Genomic DNA, 18,730 nt, shown 5'->3' with positions numbered 1-18,730 from the left:
GATAATGAAACCTGGGACAATGGTTCCTTTCAAGTGTGGTTATTGCATTCAATGATGCCAAGCTGAAAATAGTGATAAGACTTAATTTATAATCACCTATCTTTACATAGCTTGTTCTCTGGTTAGTGTAATGCTTTTGTTGGGCTGAGCAGGTGTTGCTTTGGGGGCCTTTGTGGGCACAGCAAAGCTGAAGAGCTCTGGATTCCTGGCAGAGAGGTAGGATCCTTATCCTTAGGGAGTAAATTTTCTTTCCCGTTTCCTCTGGGTCTTGCTAAGCAGTGGAAAGTTACCCAAGCTGGAATGCAGAGTTTTCCTATGTGGGGCTTGACACAGCCTGATTTTCAGTGATGGCTAGAGAAAATACAGCGCCCCCTGCCACTCTAACCTAGGCCAGGCCAAGACTCCACAACCTTCAGAAAGTGCACAGGCAAAGACCTGGACTATTAGTGGCTTACGCTCCCTATCCCCCTCCCTTTAAAAAATGCAAAAGTTTGGGTATTTTTCTTTTCTTTTTATTTTTTTAGAGACAGGATCTCACTCTGTCATCCAGGCTAGAGTTCAGTGGTGCAAGCATTGCTCACTGTAGCCTCGACTTCCCAGGCCCAAGGAATCCTACCTCCTCAGCCTCCACTATGTTGTTGCCCAGGCTGGTCTTGTACTCCTGGGCTCAAGTGATCCTCTGGCTTCAGCCTCCTAAAGTGCTGGGATTGCAGGCATGAGCCACTGCACCCAGCCATTTTTAAGAAAGCTTTACTGCAAGTAGACTGGCAAGGAGACAGGAGGCTAATGCTTAAATCTGTCTTCCTGATCTGGGGATGGGTCAAGCTTTTATGGCATTTCTAATTAGTCCAGGGTGATGCCAATGCAGCCGGTCTGCCAGGCTGCTGGTATTACAATTATCAGGGGTTTTTTGTTGTGTTTCTTTTTCCTTCTTTTCTTTTCTTCCTTTCTTTCTTTCTTTCTTTCTTTCTTTCTTTCTTTCTTTCTTTCTTTCTTTCTTTCTTTCTCTCTCTCTCTCTCTCTCTTTCTTTCTTTCTTCTTTCTTTTTCTTCCTTTCCTTTCCTTTCCTTTCCTTTCCTTTCCTTTCTCTCTTTCTCTTTCTCTCTCTCTCTCTTTTGAGATGGGGATCTCTACCAAAAAACTATGTTGTCCAGGCTGGTCTCAAACTCCTGCCCTCAAACAATCCTTCTGCCACAGCCTCTTCAAATGCTGGGATTATGGGAATGAGCCACCACGCCTGGCAAAGTTTTGGTAGTTTTCAAAAGCAGCAGAAAGATAGCCACCCAACTATCTCCTAGGCAAGATAAATCTAGGCCAGAGAAGGAGTTTCATATAATAGGCTAGTGATCCCAAAGATAAAAAAGGCCAACTGAAGAAGCAGAGAGACAGAAATAATGGGAGCACAGAGTTACAGCAGGGAGGATGGCCTGGGAATCTCCTAGACTATAACTACTGAACTCAGTCAATAGATAATAATATTAACTGTTAGTGCACAATAGTAGTGTTAATAGTAATAATATAAAACACTTATATAGAATGTTCTACATTTGTTAATTTATATAATAGTCACAACAATCCTATGATGTAGCTACTATTGATATTTTTATTTTATACATGCAGAAAAATGAAGCACAGAAGGTTTTAAAATGTAAGCTTAAAAAAGGATGCAGGCTCCAAGAGGGCAGAGAATTCTGCCCTTTTTATTCACTGCAGTTATCCCAGTGCCTGGCACATGTTCAATAATTATTTGTTGAATTAACAGTTAACTGATCCAAGATCATGCAGATGGCATGACAGGCCTGGGATAGGAACTGAGGTTTGATGCCTCTACAATTCCCACTGTTAATTACTGAGCCATACTGTCCTAGATGCTGTTATAGGAGATGAACTTCATGTGTCTCTCAGCCTGAGTTACGTCTGCTTGATAAATCCTCACCCTCAAAGCTGGCTAGCTGAGGAAACACTTCCTAACTTGTTTTATGAGGCCAATGTCACCCTTATACCAAGAGATAAAGACATTGCAAGAAAGGAAAACATAGACCAACATTGCTCATGAACCTAGATGCAAAAATTCTCAACAAAATATTAGCGTATCAAATCCAACACTGTATAAAAAGAATTATACACCATGACCAAGTGGGATTTATTTCAGGTTTGCAAAGCTAGTTCCACATTAAAAACCATTCAGTGTAATTCACCACATCAACAAGCTAAAGAAGAAAAAAATCATGTAATCATATCAGCTGACTTAAAAAAAGCATTTAACAAAATCCAATACCCACTCACGATAAAAATGCTCAGCAAACCAGGAATGGAGGAGAACTTCCTCAATTTGATAAAGAAATCTACAAAAATTGCACAGCTTAGGTTCATCAGTTATAACAAATGTACCACTCTACCCTGGTTGGGGATATCGATAACAGGGGGAGCTATGCATGTGTGGGACAAAGGTATATGGGAAATCTCTGCACCTTGTGTTTAATTTTGTTGTGAACCTAAAACTGCTCTAAAAAGTAAAGTCTATTAAAAAATACATATTGCCTTGGACAGGAAGACTTGATATTGTGAAGACAACATTTCTCTCTAAATTAATATTATACATCCAATTTTTTTTTTTTTTTTTTTTTTTTTTTTTTGAGACAGAGTCTCATCCTGTTGCCCAGGCTGGAGTGCAGTGGCATGATGATGGCTCACTGCAGCCTCAACCTCTGGGGCTCAAGTGATCTTCCCACCTCAGCCTCCTGAGTAGCTGGGACTACAGGCAGGCTCCACCACGCCCGGCTATTTTTTTTTCTTTTTTTGTAGAGATGGGGTTTGCCATGTTGCCCAGGCTGGTCTTTAACTCCTGGGCTCAAGTGATCCACCTACCTTGGCCTCCCAAATTGCTAGGATTACAGGTGTGAGTCACTGCACCTGGCTCAAAATTTTTAATTTGACAAAATGATACTATTGCTCAACTGAAAAATAAACTTGAGCGGACGAATAAGAAAAGTTCTGAATAAAGAGTAATGAAAAGGGTACTAGCTCTTCCAGCTATTATATTAAAGTGCATTATAAGCAGGGTGTAGTGGCTTAGGCCTGTAATCTCAACACTTTGGGAGGTTGATGCAGGAAGATCACTTGAGGCCAGCAGTTCGAGGCAAGCCTGATCAATATAGTGAGACCCCCATCTCTACAAAAAATAAAAAAGAAATAAAAAAAAATAAAAAACCAAAAAAGATGAATAATTGAAAAATAAAAAACAGAAATAGGCAAAATAAAAATAAAGTAAATAAGAGAAAGAATAAAGAATAAAATGCATTATAGCACAATTATAAGTTTGAAATAAGCAATGAGCAGAATAAAATTTCCAGAAGATAAAAAAAAAACTAAACTAAAGCTAGCATCATACTTGATGGTGAGTAACTGGACATTTACCCAAGATTGAGAACAAGGAAAAGATGTTCTCTCTCACCACTCCTATTCAACATCATACTGGAAGTCCCAGCTGGTGCAATAAGACAAGAAAGGGAAATGAAAGATACATAGATTGGGAAGGAAGAAATACAACTGTCTTTGTTGACAGAAGACATGATTGTTTATATGTAAAATTCCAAAGAACCAACCAACCAAACAAAAACCTCCAGGAATTAATTAATAGTACTTCTCAGGATACAAGGATAATTCATAAAAGCCAGTTGCTTTCCTTTATACCAGCAATAAACAAGTGGAATTAGAATTTTTTAAATGATAGCATTTACCAAAATGAAGCACCAAAAAAGTAAAATACTTAGATATAAATCTAACAAAATATATACAGGATCTTTATGGGGAAAACTATAAAACTCTGATGAAATAAAAGAAGATCTAAATAAATGAAGAGATAGTTCATGTTCATGGATTGGAAAACTCAATATTATTAAAATGTCAATTCCTCCCAACTTGATCTATAGACTCAATGAAATCTCTATCAAAATCCCAGCAAACTAATTTATAGATCTTGACAAATTGATTCTAAAGTTTATATGAAAAGGCAAGGACACAGATTCCAATACAATGTGGAAGAAGAATAAAGTTAGAGGACTCACTTTACCCAATTTCAGGACTTACTATAAAGCTATGTAATCAAGACAGTATGGTGTTGGTGAAAGAACAGACACATAGATCAAAGGAACAGAATAGAGAGACCAGAAATTGATCCACACAAATACAGCCAGTTAATCTTTGATAAAGGTGCAAAGGCAATTCAATGGAGAAAGGGTGGTCTTTTCAACAAATGTTCAACAATTGGAAATATGCTAAAAAATGAACTTAGACGCAGATCTTACACATTTCATAAAATTAACTCAAAATGGTTTATAAATCTAGATGTAAACTGCAAAACTTTAAAACTTCTAGAAGGGAACACAGAAGAAAATATAGATGACCTCAGATTTGGTGATGAGTTTTTAGATGTAAACCGAAAGCATGATCATGGAAATAATTGATAAACTGGATTTTATTAAAATTAAAATTTTCTGCTCTGCAAAAAACATTGTTAAGAAAATCAAAAGACAAACCACAGACTTGGAGAAAATATTTGCAAAACATATATCTGATAAAGGACTTGTATCCAAAATATACAAAGAACTCTTAAAACTCAACAATAAAAAAAATCCAATTAAAAAGTGAGCAGGCAGGGCGTGGTGGCTCATGCCTGTAATCCCAGCACTTTGGGAGGCCAAGGCAGGCGGATCACGATGTCAGGAGATCGAGACCGTTCTGGCTAACATGGTGAAACCCGGTTTGTACTAAAAATACAAAAAATTAGCTGGGCGTGGTGGTGGACACCTGTAGTCCCAGCTACTCGGGAGACTGAGGCAAAAGAATGGCGTGAACCCAGGAGGTGGAGCTTGCAGTGAGCGAAGATCGCACCACTGCACTCCAGCCTGGGCGACAGAGTGAGACTCCATCTAAAAAAAAAAAAAAAAAGTGGGCAAAGCTGGGCACAGTGGAGTATGTATGCTTGTAATCCCAGCTACCTGCGAGGCTGAGGTGGGAGGATCACTTGAGCCCAGAAGTTTGAATCCAACCTGGACAACATAGTAAGACTCCATCTCTTAAAAACAAACAAACAAAAATGGGTTAAATGTCTGAACTGAAACTTCAGCAGAGAATGTGTACAAATGGCAAATAAGCATACGGAAAGATGCCCAAAATCATTTTTTGTTAGAGAATTACAAATTAAAACAACAATGAAATTCCATTATATCTTTTAGGATAGCTGAAATACAAAAAACTGGCAAAACCAATTGCTGGCAAGGATGCAAAGTGACAGGAACTATCATCCATGTTGCTAAGAATGCAAAATGATGCAGTCACTTTGCAAAACAGTTTGGCAGTTTTTTTTTTTTTTTTAACAAAGCTAAACATAGTCTTACCATACAACCCATTGTGCTCCTTTGTATTTAATTGAATGGGTTGAAAATTTATGTTCACACAAAAACTTGCACACTTGCACATAAATGTTTATAGTAGCCTTATTTATAATTGCCAGAACTTGGAAGCAACCAAGGCGTCCTTCAATAGGTGAGTGGATAAACTGTGGTACGTCCATACAATAAAACATTACTCAGTACTAAAAAGAAATGAGCTCTCAAGCCATGAGTAGACATGGATAAAACTTAAACACATATTGCTAAGTGAAAGAAGCCAGTCTGGAAATGCTATATGCTCTCTAATTCCATTATATGACATCCTGGAAAAGGCAAAAAAAACCCCCAAAAAACAAAAAAATCAGCAATGGTAAAAAGATCAATGGTTACCAGGTGAAGCATCAGGGTTTCTTACAATGGTGAAACTATTCTGTTACGATACTGTAGCAGTGGATACATAACATTATGCATTTGTCAAAAACTATAGAACTTTACAGCACAAAGGGTTTACCTTAATGTATGCAAATTTTTAAAAGTCATGTCGAAGGTGAGGGGATCCTAAAATAGAATGCAGAATGTGACAAAATAATCTAACTGTATTACAGGTATATGAAACCACCTAATTGAAGGGAGTGGGGGTAAATTTACTGATTTAAGTAACTTTGGGAATGAACAGAGTCTGTAAATTTAAGGTAAAATAAATTGTACAAAAGCATTGTACTCCAGTTGATAAAGTTGTTTCATTTTTCTGTATGGTTTGTGTTAACAATTCAGATGCCGCAATAATAGATGCTGGAATTGGGCACTTAAGTAATAGATGGTGGATTATGGGAGCCAGGTGTCTCACTGTTGGAGTGAGAGCTTAAAGATAAGCAGGGTGGAAACCGGAATGATCCATGTAATAATGGATTAGAGTTGGAGACATCAGTATGAACTCATGAATAGTTTAATTTAGATACAAGTGGTTACATATAGAAATATTAAAGATACGTGTATATACATGGGTCAGTATACACACATATATTTCTTTGCTCGGTCAACTGAGAGAACAGAGAAGCACTAAAATCCCAGTAGCAACAAGCATATCTAGGGTCCAGATCTTGGTTTCTCATACCATTCTTCAATAGAAGGAACCAGGGCTCCTTGGAGAAATGGTTGATTCTAGGACTGGGTCAGGGAATATACAAGATAACCTGGAGCATCTTGCAGTTGCAGAAAGTAAAGAAGTACAAAAAAAAATCCCCAAAAGACCCCAAACTCAAGAAACAAAAAAATCCAAACCCTACAATAATGGGGGCATGCCAAAGGACACAGGAGTCAACTGAAAGGGTTCCCAATTGTCAAAGGTGGAATAATTTGATCAACAAAATAATGTATTGTATTATAACACCCCAAAATAAAACACATTTCTTTAGAATAAAATAAGTCCATATTGATATAAATAAATGGGAGAAAAAAAAAGAGATTGCTCCAGCGGAAAAAATCCAAATGATTTATGCAGACACTCCACTCTCAAGTAAGTGGAGCATAACTCCTCACTCATTAAGTTGTGCACAATGACTTCCTTCAGAAAAGTACCATTAGGAAAGGGAGGCATTGTAATGTTAGTGGACAGATCTGAAAAACACTACCTTAGCCAGGTGCTCAAGGTCACCATCAACAGTGATAGATACACCATGTTGACAGTATATACCCTTAACATGATTTGACGACTCAGGAGTTGACCCCAAAGCCCAGGTATGATGTGATGAAAATGGTACTTTACCTCTTTAGTCTTCTTCTTCCAAATCCATAACCCCAGCCTAATCATGAGAAAAGCATATATCCCCGTTGAGGGACATTCCACAAAATACCTAACTTCTCAAAACTGTCCAAGTCATCAAAAACAAGCAAAGTCTGAGAAACTGTCACAGCCAAGAGGAGCCACAGACATGATGGTTAATGGAAAGTGGGCTCCTGGATGGGATCCTGCAATAGAAAAAGACCATTCAGGTAAAACTGAGAAAATCTGAAGATAGTATGGGCTTTAGGTAATAATAACATATTTACCATTATTAGTTATAATAAATGTACCATACCAATGTAAGACATTAATAATGAAGGGAATGCAGTGTGGGTCATATGGGAACTGTCTGTACTATGTTTGAAGTGTCTCTGTAAATCTAAAACTGTCCTAAAAAATAAGATTCATTGAAATAATGTTTACTTAAAAACAAACATCCCGGAGTCAAACCATAGAGGTCTTTAAAAAAAAAAAAAAAAGAAAAGAAAAGAAAAGAAAAAGAAGAAAGAAAGAAAATGAAAGAAAAACAAACTGCAGCTGCCTCCCCAGATCTTCCACCCCATGCGAAGTGGGGCCCAGTGGGGTGAGGAAAGCTTCTGGGAGCGCAGAGCTGGCAGATCTCATGGAAAAGACGAACTTCAGGTTTCCAGTTTCCAGTTATCAGCGTGGGTGTGAACACCGCAGCCCTGAAGCAGCACCTTCCCCACAGTGGCAGGTTTGGTGCACAGGCAGACCCGAGGAGGAACTCTCCAAGGGCTGGCAGAGGCTTGCCTTTCACATCCCCCACAGGCTTCCTCCTGGTCGCCTTAGGCCCTAGGCTCTAGCCCCTGAACAACCCAGCTCTGTTGGGAGTTAGTCTGGGGAAGTGCAGACTCAACATCCCGCCTCATCTACCCTACCCCTGAGAGAAATATGAGGCAAGGTTGAGCTCAGAGGTTAGAAGCTCATGGTGAAAAAGAGGGGAAAAGGGAGGGCTCTTCCGTGCCCCCAGTTCAAAGTCACAGTTGGGAGGGTGTGCGCCTTCCTCCCTCCCTGGGGCGTTCAGAGGGAGGGATCCGGGTGCCAGCGTCCCAGAAGCTGAGCAGGAGACTGCAGGGATTTGCAGGGAGGGGGTTTTGGTGTCAGAGCAGGGGCTGGGCTGGGAGAGTAGGGTAACTGCATAAAGCTTTGCGGGGGTAGCGCAACTTTGGCGTGAGGGTCTCAAGTTCAGAATTTTCAGGGAACTCGAATAGCCTCCGTGTTTTTGTAGCAAGGAAATCACTTTGACTTTAAAGTGGGAGGCACAGGCCGCCAGAGAACGGTTTTGGACAGGTGGCGCGTGCGCTCTGGAAAGCTGAGGGCTGGCAGGAGATGGGGCTTTCCGGAGAAAGAGAAGAAGGGGCCCAGGACCCCACAGCCTACGAAAATGCACCATAGGGAGGGGTGGAAACAGCCTAGAGCTGGTGTTACCTCCCACAGCAGGTGTCAAGAGCCCAAGACGAGGTGTCAGACCAACGCCAGCGGGTCTCTGCGCTGGCCGCGCCCAGTCCTCTCCAGCTTTACGCACGGGCTTGGCTCGCCCTCTGGTCCCTTGAGGAAGGCAGGGGAACTCCAGCCGCCTTTCCTGAGGACAAGACTTCCCTACAGACACGGGCCTTTCTACCAGGGACTCCTAAGGGCAGAAGAAGCCGGAGATCAGGGCTCTACATCAGGGCGAGGGACAGGCTGGAATGGCCATGGCTGGCCCCGGAGAGGGGCGCACAGCTTGTTGGCGGGTGGCAAGACCTTTGAGTTAATGTATAATTGTGAGCAGATGGCGGGGGCTGGCGGCAGCCCGGGGCCTGGGCCCAGCTAATGAGGGACAATTAGCCCCAAACCCGGTGGGGGTGGCTGAGAGAGTCAGACAGTGAAGGCAGATATTTGCTCCTCAAACAGTCTAGCGCGCTGGGCAGAGGGCTGAGTGGCAGAGCCTTTGGGCTCTCTAGGCCCCCCTGCCAGGGCCCTTTACCACTTTTCCCTCCCCCATCACCTCTGGGTCGAAAGCCTCTGTTTGTTCAGACCCAAGAGCGCGTCATAAAGGCGGAGGGAGAGGGTAGTTTATGGGGTAAATCGCTGCCACCACCATCTGCTAGGGCTTGTCCCTGCTCCCCCTGATACCCCTATCTCCACCCTCATGCAGCTGTCTATAGGAATAGCTGGTCAGGACATAAGCCTTGAGCCCCTAGACGCAGGGGCAGATCTAGCGGGGAGGGATGAGGCAGGAATGGGGGACTAGGAGCAGGGCTACCACAGGCCTTACTGGGGACCTCCTCCCACCCAAGCATGGCTAAGTAGAGTGACCAGCAGTCCCCAGCTGCCCCGGGGATGGAATGGGCTGTAAGGACACTTGGGCAAATGCTATCCTGCCCGAGGTCCTGAAATCACCCTCTGCAGTCTCCCCTGTACCCCAAGACCAGTCTGAGGATGCTGGAGGAGGGTGGAAGAGGAAGAGAGTATGTATCAGGGTAAAGTGGAAAACTCACTTATGTGATATTTGGCCTTTGAGAGCAAGAGTTCCCAACCCTAGGATCAAGCTGAATGCACAACAACCACTTTCACCCCCAAAACCTCAAAACATTTACCAATGACATACGTCTTCCATTCTCTGATTTCTGGGACTAGTCTTATTGCCCTACACCCTGCTTACTTCCAGTCTAACTTTTGCAATGGTTTCACAGACTCTGAGGTGTGGAATGGACCCAAAGACCATCTGCCCAAGACCCTGATGACTGGCAACAAAATTTACATGCACTAGAGGCTGTGTTTCACTTTCAGCATCCCACTCCACAGGCACCACCTGCCCAGCTACTGATACCTCTGACCTCGCCAATGACCCAGATAACCTGTGGTGTCTTTTGTGGAAACAGCAGTGCCATTACTAACTTAGAGTCTAAAAGCATCAAATCCCTAACAGAATGGAGCCTGCTAACATCTAAAGATGGAAGAAGGAAAATCCTGCTGCAAGCCTCCTTATAAACACCCACATGCATCTCTGACTATCCTGAGGCTCATTTCCACCACCACTACCATTGTCAGTGTTCTGAAGTCCAGGATCCTTCCATTTCCAGGCAAGAATTCACCCTTGGTGTCACCTCAGTCAAGGAGTCAATTGGAGAATTGGTTAGGACACTCTCTGGGGACAGCTGGTGCTAGGTGACACACACTCTTCACACTCTTCTCCATTCACTCTCATTATCTCAGAGTGCTAGGAGCCAACTCAGTCAGTATTTAGGCAACAGTCTGTATACTCATTTATCTTTTATAGCAACACACACGACTCAGGAGTTGACCCCAAAGCCCATGTATGTGCATTCTGGCTGGGAAGCTGTGTTGGTGGTTCGGGAAGGCATCTTTTTGCTTCTGTGTATTCAAAGCCTTAAGAACACAACCTGAAGTTCCCCATCTTCCATGCTCAGCATGCCCTTCAGGAGTACTGGTGCTTGTGTGGGTACACTTTTGCCTGTCTGAGAATGGCTCTGTCCCTGCTTCCGGGTGGTAGGTGGACACAAAGTGGGCTCTGAGGATTCCCCATGGAAGGACACAGTGGGTCATTGGCTGTGGTTTGCCCTGCCTCAGGGCTGGTGTCAGTCAGCCCATGCACACCTCCCTCCTCCTCTCTCCTCTGCTCATGGCCTGTGACATCACTGGCTACTCCCAGAAGGCTGCCCTCTGCTCTTGAGCACGGGCTCTCTATAGCTCTGGACCCCCTGGCAGGACTGAAGCAGGAGCAGAGTGGAGGCTGTTACCAAGACCAGATCATCACCACCCCTGGAGCCTGCAGGGGTCTCAGAAGCTGAGACCTCCCACTGAAGCTCCCACCTCATTTCCTCCACACAGGTAGCTCACCTGCAGGCTCATTGTCTGCCCTGCCTCTCATGCTGTCTCCATGCCTCTGTGTGGCCAAACCCAACTTCTCTCCCACTCTGCCTTTGCAGCTACAACCCTCCTGCCCCTTCCACCCCCTTTCCTGTTTTTCCATCTTGCAAGCACCAGTTATTTTTTCAGACATGTTAATATGAATGTTGGGAATGTGTGTTGTGGCTATTGGGAATGGGGTTTCTGTTTGTGAGTTGGGGCATAATGATTTAGGTTTGGAGATTATTTAGGTTTGGATACTGAACCTGCATCCCTACTGCTCTTTTGAATTCTGGTCACTTAGGAGAACTGAGTCCCATCAAGGATTTAGGGTTTGGCTGATATTTTGAGCTCCTTCACCCTGTCTTGGCACAGCCCTTTACAGTCCCTGCTTGATTCTCCTCTCTCCATTGTTTTTGTGGCAATTACACAAACATGAAACAGGGGTGGGAGCAGAGAAAGAGAGCCCAGGATTAGGAGCCAGAAATTGTAGCTTCTGATGAGGAACTGGCTTCTAAACCTTGAATTTTACTCTCTGGACAGCCCCTGACTTGTGGCAATGCCAATCTGTGCCTCAGTTTTCTCTTTGGAAAACCTCTGCCTTCTTTCCCGACTTTTTGGAAAGATGAGAATTTGAAGGGGTCTGTGCCTCTACCTACCTAGAAACAAGTGAGTAAAAGCCAATTTAGCGACTGAACTTAATAAGTAGACTCTGGATTCCAAACTCTTTGTAATTCTTTGTTTCACTGGTGCTAGTCTCTTTTCTCCAGTTGCTCTGTAATGTGTTGGAGAGCAAAGACTTTACCCTTTTCTGTTTACTGCCTTCATCCTGAACAACCAGCAATGTGCTCATGCTTAATATCTTATTCAGCATACAACTGCAGATGAATTAACTAAGCCCAGATGGCACGCTTATTATAAGAAAGTTCTGTGCATAAGCTGTTCCTTGGGGTGATCTCCAGCACTACCAGGGTTCCAGGCATGAAAGGAGGCATCTTCAACTCCCATTGATTACTAATGAAAGTAGAAGAGGTATGGTGGCCTGTGGGACCTGTGTCCCTTGCTGCTCAGAGACTCGCTTGGGCTCATGACGGTTTCTATGTTGCTCAGCGGACAGTCTTCTCCTGCTTCTCATTCCCTTCAATATGCCTTTGATAAATGTTAGTTGAATGAATGAGTGTCTGATACCAGAAACATCGTCTCTGAAATTGAAGCTTCACTGTGAGATCTAGAACTCTTCAGAGAATGAACAGAATGAACAATCTCAGCAGGTTAGAGATGCTAAGAGATGCGTCTCCTAGGAGAAGCCGGCTCTTCAGGCGTGTTCATCTCTATGCCCAGTGTGTAGGACCAGAGCCTCAATGCCTGGTGGGTTAGAGCTGAGTCCCAGTTTCCCTAGAGCTTCCTGGAGAGTATAAAAAAACAGGAGCAAGCCTTTCTGAAGTGCAGCATTTGGGTGGCAGTTTGGAGAGCCCAACCGAGGACTGCCTAATAGTGAAGGTGGACCCCTGAACTTGAGGACCCCAGAATCTCTGGCTCGGGTGTGTCTTCCAGGGCTGAGAAGGCTTAGGAGCAGCTGGAGACAACAGCTGTCCATTTGGAAAGGGGAAAGCTTGAGCATTTGAAAGCATTATCCCTTTCTACCTCCCCAAACTTTTCTAATGAATGTGTAGGAAAGGAGAACCCTCTCAATCCTCCCAGCCCCTTATCAGGACTTCAAGAAAGATCCAGTCCTCAGCCAACCTGCAGTGTTTTAGTTTTTATCACACAAAGGTTTAAATAAAAGGAATTAGAATTTTCTGATTTTAGCCAACCCACTGGCAAATTTTAGGAACCTGACCCTCTATCACAAAACACTACCTCCCAGGACCATTTCAAGCAAAAGACCTCACCCAAATAACCCCCCATTATTGCAGAGCCAGCCCCCAAGCTGGAAAAGGAGCTCCTAGAAGGAACTTCCCTTCCCAGCCTTCCCAGCTGGAGTCTCATCCTTCTGAGGAGGGTCAGCCTGGAGCATGCATCAGGACGGTGAGGAGCCTGGGGGAAGTGGGAAGACAGGGAGGACAACAGAGACAGGGGAAGACCTCAGGGCTTTGCTTCCATCAACTGTTTCATCTGCTATTGGCCAATGTTCTGGGGAAGCTTTTTCCAGTCCCTCCCTTCCTGCCCTGTCCTGCTTCCCTTAGATCAGGAGAGTTGGCGGGTATGGGCAAGGAACAAAGACTCACCCGTGAGCCAGCTCTCAAAGAAAGCAGCTTGCGTTGACAGCCTGGGGGCAGCAAGGATGCAGTCTCCCAGGAGAGGATGCACTCGGTGGTGGGAAGCCAGGCTGGAGGGGCCTGAGTGACCCTCTCCACAGGCGGGCAGGGCAGTGGGAGAGGTGGTGTGTGGATACCTCTGTCTCACGCCCAGGGATCAGCAGCATGAACCAGCTTGGGGGGCTCTTTGTGAATGGCCGGCCCCTGCCTCTGGATACCCGGCAGCAGATTGTGCGGCTAGCAGTCAGTGGAATGCGGCCCTGTGACATCTCACGGATCCTTAAGGTAATGGGCCAGCACCTTTACCCAGTGATGGGGACAGGAAGCAGGGAGAAAGGGCTCCTCTGAAGGCAAGAGCCTGGGGCTGTTGCAGGCTCTGAGGGCTTCTGGGACTTGGGTCACTTCCTGGGAGATCCTCTCGGAGGTTGAAAAGGGGAGCCTCAGGCCCTCAAAGGTGAGGCTGGACTCCCGACTTCATGGCCTGGTCCAGTAAGTCTTGGCTTTGTCTTATAGCCTCCTCCTGTCCCAGGGACACTCTCCTTCCTTCTGCCCATCATGCCTCACCTGTCCCTGCTTCTCACCTGACTCAGGTATCTAATGGCTGTGTGAGCAAGATCCTAGGGCGTTACTACCGCACAGGTGTCTTGGAGCCAAAGGGCATTGGGGGAAGCAAGCCACGGCTGGCTACACCCCCTGTGGTGGCTCGAATTGCCCAGCTGAAGGGTGAGTGTCCAGCCCTCTTTGCCTGGGAAATCCAACGCCAGCTTTGTGCTGAAGGGCTTTGCACCCAGGACAAGACTCCCAGTGTAAGTACCCTTCCCTCCCCACACTGGGGCTGGAAAAGAGGCTTTCTGGGGGAGACAAAGAACCTTTCTTATTTGGCAATGTGGGCATCCCAAGCTGGTGACAGGGCTCCTGGGCAATTCTGACCCATAAGTTTTTCTTTTGAAAAGTGGTGGTAATAAGAGGATTGGGAAGGAGAAAGCATAGAGAGAGAGAGAGGAGGCTGCCCTTGGGAACAATGTGTAGGTGGAGACAGATGGGAAAAAGGATATTAAGGGCAACATCCTCAGGGTATAGCCCTGAGTCTGAGCACCATCTCTCCACTCAACACCCTGACACTCCCAGGTCTCCTCCATCAACCGAGTCCTGCGGGCATTACAGGAGGACCAGGGACTACCGTGCACACGGCTCAGGTCACCAGGTGGGTCTTGGAGTTGTCCCCAGGGCTAATCACAGCCAAATCTCTAGCATTTTATAGTTCTCAAAGCCCTTTCTCGTTCTTTCTTGGATCACCCTCACAACAACCCAATAAGGAGGACTGGGCAGGGAGTCTCATTCTCTCCCAGCAGAAGAAAATTGAGGTCCAGAAAAGTGAAGTGACTTACCCAAGGTCACCACCTAGTTGATGGCAGGCCCTGGAACAGAACACAGGTCCCCTAGCCCCTGGGTTCACAGGATCTATTGAAGAAGAGGCAGGACTGCATCTCATACCCTCCCTCTGCCCCATGCATAGCTTCTTAGAGCATCATTCATGTTCTTTGGGATAACACACCCCTGGACCAAGCCTACTGCTTGTCCCTCCAAACTCTTGCACATTAAGCATGCACCCCACCATGGTATTGAGCACCCTTTCCACCAAGTGACCCTGCAGTGACCTCTAATAACTATGAATGCCCCACCAGCTTGGCTCTGCTCTTCTACCCATGGTGTCTCCCGGCTGCAGCCCCAGAGACTCAGGGACCCCATCTGACCAGAGGAATCACCATCACAAACCACCACAAACTGTTATCTTCCTTTTCAGCTGTTTTGGCTCCAGCTGTCCTCACTCCCCATAGTGGCTCTGAGACTCCCCGGGGTACCCACCCAGGGACCGGCCACCGGAATCGGACTATCTTCTCCCCAAGCCAAGCAGAGGCACTGGAGAAAGGTGCTGGGCTGGGACAGATGGAGGGTCAGAGAGTCCTCAGTGTGACACAGGGACAGTGGCCCTGAGGCCTGTGGGCAAAGGCTGAGAGGTGCAGGTGTGAGTGGCCCTGCCTTGAGGAGGAAGGTAGTTTGGGGTTGTAGCAGGTGGGGAGTGTTGCCTAAGGGGAGACCCATGCCTTGCTCCTCTCCCGGTGCCCTTACTTTGTGAGACTCGATCTCCGCAGAGTTCCAGCGTGGGCAGTATCCTGATTCAGTGGCCCGTGGAAAGCTGGCTACTGCCACCTCTCTGCCTGAGGACACGGTGAGGGTGAGTGAGCTCTGCAACACTGTACAAACCACAAGGAGGAAGAGTCTGGGCCGGCCAGGGCTTTGGGTTCCAATGAGGTGGAGAGGGGAGGTGAGAAATTGGAAGCAAATTTGTTTGGAGCAACAATCAGAGATGAGATCCTCCTTGTTCACCTTCTGCTGACTGCTCTCCTCTCTTCCCCAACCCAAACCTTTGAGTTGAGGAAGGGGCCAGAGAGCAAAAGCTAGAGCAGGGAGGGAGGATGTCAGGCCCAAGGAAGGGTCAACATTCTGAGTTCAGGCTAGGAACATGTGGTGAGATCAGCAGGTGACAGGCAGCATAAAGTACAGCCAGCTGCATTGTCCCTGTCCTCGCTCAGGTCTGGTTTTCCAACAGAAGAGCCAAATGGCGTCGGCAAGAGAAGCTCAAGTGGGAAATGCAGCTGCCAGGTGATTTCTCTGCACCATCATCCATCTGCCCGCTCAGTCATCTATCCATCCATCCATCCATCCATCCATCCATCCATCCATCCATCCTCCATTCGTCCATCCATTTATCCATCCACCCATGTATCCATCCATCCATTCATCCATTCATCTATCCATCCATCCATTCATCCATTCATCATCCACCCACCACACCCACCCATCCACCCAGCTACCCATTTATCCACCCATCTATCCATGCATCAATCCATCCATCCTCCATTCATCCATCCATTTATCCATCCACCCATGTATCCATCCATCCATTCATCCATTCATCTATCCATCCATCCATTCATCCAGGCATCATCCACCCACCACACCCACCCATCCACCCAGCTACCCATTTATCCACCCATCTATCCATGCATCCATCTCTCCATCCATCCATTTATCCATCCACCCATCTATCCATCCATCCAGCCAGCCAGTCACCCACCCATCTGCTCACCCACCTATCTACCTATCCATTTATCCATCCATCCATCCATCCATCCATCCATCCATCCATCCATCCACCCATTCATTCATGCATCCATCCATGCATCTGCTCATGCATTCATCCATCCATCCACCCATGCATCCGCCCATGCATCCATCCAGCCACCCATGCACCCATGCATCCATCCATCCATCCATCTTTCCATTAATCTGTGCATCCATCCACCCATCCATCCAATATTTACTCAGCATCTCCCCAGTGCCAGACCCTGTGCTAGATGCTGGGCACACACAGTCCCGGATCTTAAGGCTGCACTGTCCCCAGTACCATCACTGGAATTTAATCATTCTTCTCCAGTTTCCCAAGGACCTGTCTTGGGGAAGAGGACAGTTTTGGGTTAAAATATCCATCTCTTCACACCCCTGCAAGAAGTGGCTGACTTTCCTAGAACCTCTTTGTATCCAACCTTCCTGCCTCTCACCACACTCCTCCCGTCCCTAACCCCAATTCCTCCTTCTGAGTGGATTCACTCTCATTTTATAGGTGCTTCCCAGGGGCTGACTGTACCAAGGGTTGCCCCAGGAATCATCTCTGCACAGGTACTCGGGAGGAGAGGGGAGTCTGTGCCCTGGGAAGACTGAAGGGCTCATGGGCTCTTCCATTTCTGGCCTGAGCCAGGATCTCCGGCTCTCCAGGGCCCCACAGTGTTCATGTCAAGAAAGTACTAACCCAAAGTCTACTATGTGAATGGTGCCCTCTGGAGTTGTGCAGGATACTACTTGGGTGGCAGGCAGCTCTGGGGTCCCGGCGTTCTCTACAGGAGGCATCACTGGAAGCTAAGGTTCTTCTCTTGCTTTTTTTTTTTAGCAGTCCCCTGGCAGTGTGCCCACAGCAGCCCTGCCTGCCCTGGAACCACTGGGTCCCTCCTGCTATCAGCTGTGCTGGGCAACAGCACCAGAAAGGTGTCTGAGTGACACCCCACCTAAAGCCTGTCTCAAGCCCTGCTGGGGTAAGAATTCAGGCCAGGCCTCAGTCCTGCAGGATGTAGGGAGGGTCGACTGACTCAACCTCCAGGAGGGCATGGATCTCCATTGGGGGTCATCAAAGGAATCTCAATACAGCTTTCCTCATTCTTTGCATGGTCCACAAAATTACGGAGACTAGTAACCCCTGAGTCTATGGTATCACTGACAGCCATAGCAGGTAAAGGATGTGAGACTGGGATTCAAGTGTGTATATGCAGGGTGGGAAACTGATGTCTCAGCCTCTCTCCCATAGTGACTTTGAGAGGTGGGGTGGGAGCAATAACCCCAAGCTCTCTCTATTTGTCCCCACAGGCCACTTGCCCCCACAGCCGAATTCCCTGGACTCAGGACTGCTTTGCCTTCCTTGCCCTTCCTCCCACTGTCACCTGGCCAGTCTTAGTGGCTCTCAGGCCCTGCTCTGGCCTGGCTGCCCACTACTGTATGGCTTGGAATGAGGCAGGAGTGGGAAGGAGATGGCATAGAGAAGATCTAATACCATCCTGCCCATTGTCCTTACCGTCCTGCCCATACAGACTGTGGCTCCTTCCTCCTTCCTGTGATTGCTCCCTCCTGTGTGGACGTTGCCTGGCCCTGCCTCGATGCCTCTCTGGCGCATCACCTGATTGGAGGGGCTGGTAAAGCAACACCCACCCACTTCTCACACTAGCCTTAAGAGGCCTCCACTCAGCAGTAATAAAAGCTGTTTTTATTAGCAGTAGTTCTGTTGTCCATCATGTTTTCCCTATGAGCACCCCTATGCCCACTCTAATATTCAACAATTATAGACAATTTGCCCTATCATTTATTTACATCTATGTATCTACCATCTAATCTATGCATGTATGTAGGCAATACATGTATCTAAACAATGTATTTGTCAATGCATCAATTTACCTACTCTATGTATGCATCTATATGTGTATTATGTATGCGTGCATGCGTGCGCGCACACACACACACACACACACACACTGACATTATATCATGGCATTTTATTCCTAAATCTTCCAGCATGCATCCCCAAAAAACAAGAAACTTGTCTTACATAATCACAATAATATATCCACATCTAAGAAAATTTACTGTAACTTCTTAATCTAAGAAAATTATGTATTTTTGTCATATGTATTTTGTCATATGTATTTTGTATTTGCATATGTATTTTGTATTTGCATATGTATTTTTGTCATAGCAGCAAACAGAGTGAAATGCCATTTTTCATATTCTGCTTTCCATTTATATGTGCTTTATTTATA

The 18,730-nt window shown here is 45.9% G+C and overlaps 1 protein-coding gene across 2 annotated transcripts, besides 8 other annotated features; it reads left to right on the top strand.

The window, feature by feature from the left end:
* Positions 5,977 to 10,934: a promoter, noted in NCBI's record as "-4958 to +46 promoter fragment". NCBI's record gives the evidence for it as "EXISTENCE:reporter gene assay evidence [ECO:0000049][PMID:10967107]".
* Positions 6,261 to 6,305: a protein binding site, noted in NCBI's record as "P4.1 probe". NCBI's record gives the evidence for it as "EXISTENCE:protein binding evidence [ECO:0000024][PMID:10967107]".
* Positions 6,726 to 6,772: a protein binding site, noted in NCBI's record as "P4.2 probe". NCBI's record gives the evidence for it as "EXISTENCE:protein binding evidence [ECO:0000024][PMID:10967107]".
* Positions 8,931 to 8,951: a protein binding site, noted in NCBI's record as "H4 probe". NCBI's record gives the evidence for it as "EXISTENCE:protein binding evidence [ECO:0000024][PMID:10967107]".
* Positions 8,932 to 8,978: an enhancer, noted in NCBI's record as "-1960 to -1909 fragment for pancreatic enhancer". NCBI's record gives its function as "enhancer in pancreas" and the evidence as "EXISTENCE:knockout evidence [ECO:0001091][PMID:10967107]" and "EXISTENCE:reporter gene assay evidence [ECO:0000049][PMID:10967107]".
* Positions 8,942 to 8,965: a protein binding site, noted in NCBI's record as "TAAT 1/2 probe". NCBI's record gives the evidence for it as "EXISTENCE:protein binding evidence [ECO:0000024][PMID:10967107]".
* Positions 8,942 to 8,965: a protein binding site, noted in NCBI's record as "TAAT 1/2 probe". NCBI's record gives the evidence for it as "EXISTENCE:protein binding evidence [ECO:0000024][PMID:10967107]".
* Positions 9,003 to 9,029: a protein binding site, noted in NCBI's record as "TAAT 3/4 probe". NCBI's record gives the evidence for it as "EXISTENCE:protein binding evidence [ECO:0000024][PMID:10967107]".
* On the top strand, positions 10,851 to 18,701 carry PAX4 (paired box 4). Of its 2 annotated transcripts, NM_001366110.1 has the most exons (12): positions 10,851 to 11,031; positions 11,593 to 11,718; positions 12,966 to 13,077; positions 13,462 to 13,592; positions 13,898 to 14,113; positions 14,436 to 14,511; positions 15,112 to 15,237; positions 15,461 to 15,543; positions 15,902 to 15,971; positions 16,993 to 17,048; positions 17,317 to 17,458; positions 17,787 to 18,701. In NM_001366110.1, exons 3-12 carry the CDS (start codon positions 13,065 to 13,067, stop codon positions 17,927 to 17,929), a joined length of 1,056 nt encoding a protein of 351 aa, NP_001353039.1. In that variant the 5' UTR covers positions 10,851 to 11,031; positions 11,593 to 11,718; positions 12,966 to 13,064; the 3' UTR covers positions 17,930 to 18,701. The 2 variants fall into 2 exon arrangements, with proteins under 2 accessions (NP_001353039.1, NP_001353040.1); NM_001366111.1 differs by lacking the exons at positions 10,851 to 11,031; positions 11,593 to 11,718 and having other exon boundaries at positions 18,008 to 18,701.

Source organism: Homo sapiens, chromosome 7, assembly GCF_000001405.40.
Source record: "Homo sapiens chromosome 7, GRCh38.p14 Primary Assembly".
Classification (NCBI taxonomy): domain Eukaryota; kingdom Metazoa; phylum Chordata; class Mammalia; order Primates; family Hominidae; genus Homo; species Homo sapiens.
Note: the sequence above shows the minus strand (reverse complement) of the source record. Positions and strands in the feature narration are given on the sequence as shown.

What these genes read in the sequence shown, in the direction of transcription:
- PAX4 (NM_001366110.1), top strand. An exon ending in TGCCTGAGGACACGGTGAGG is followed by an intron (nt 15,544 to 15,901) that starts GTGAGTGAGCTC and finishes GTCCTCGCTCAG; the next exon opens with GTCTGGTTTTCCAACAGAAG. An exon ending in CAGGAATCATCTCTGCACAG is followed by an intron (nt 17,049 to 17,316) that starts GTACTCGGGAGG and finishes TTTTTTTTTTAG; the next exon opens with CAGTCCCCTGGCAGTGTGCC.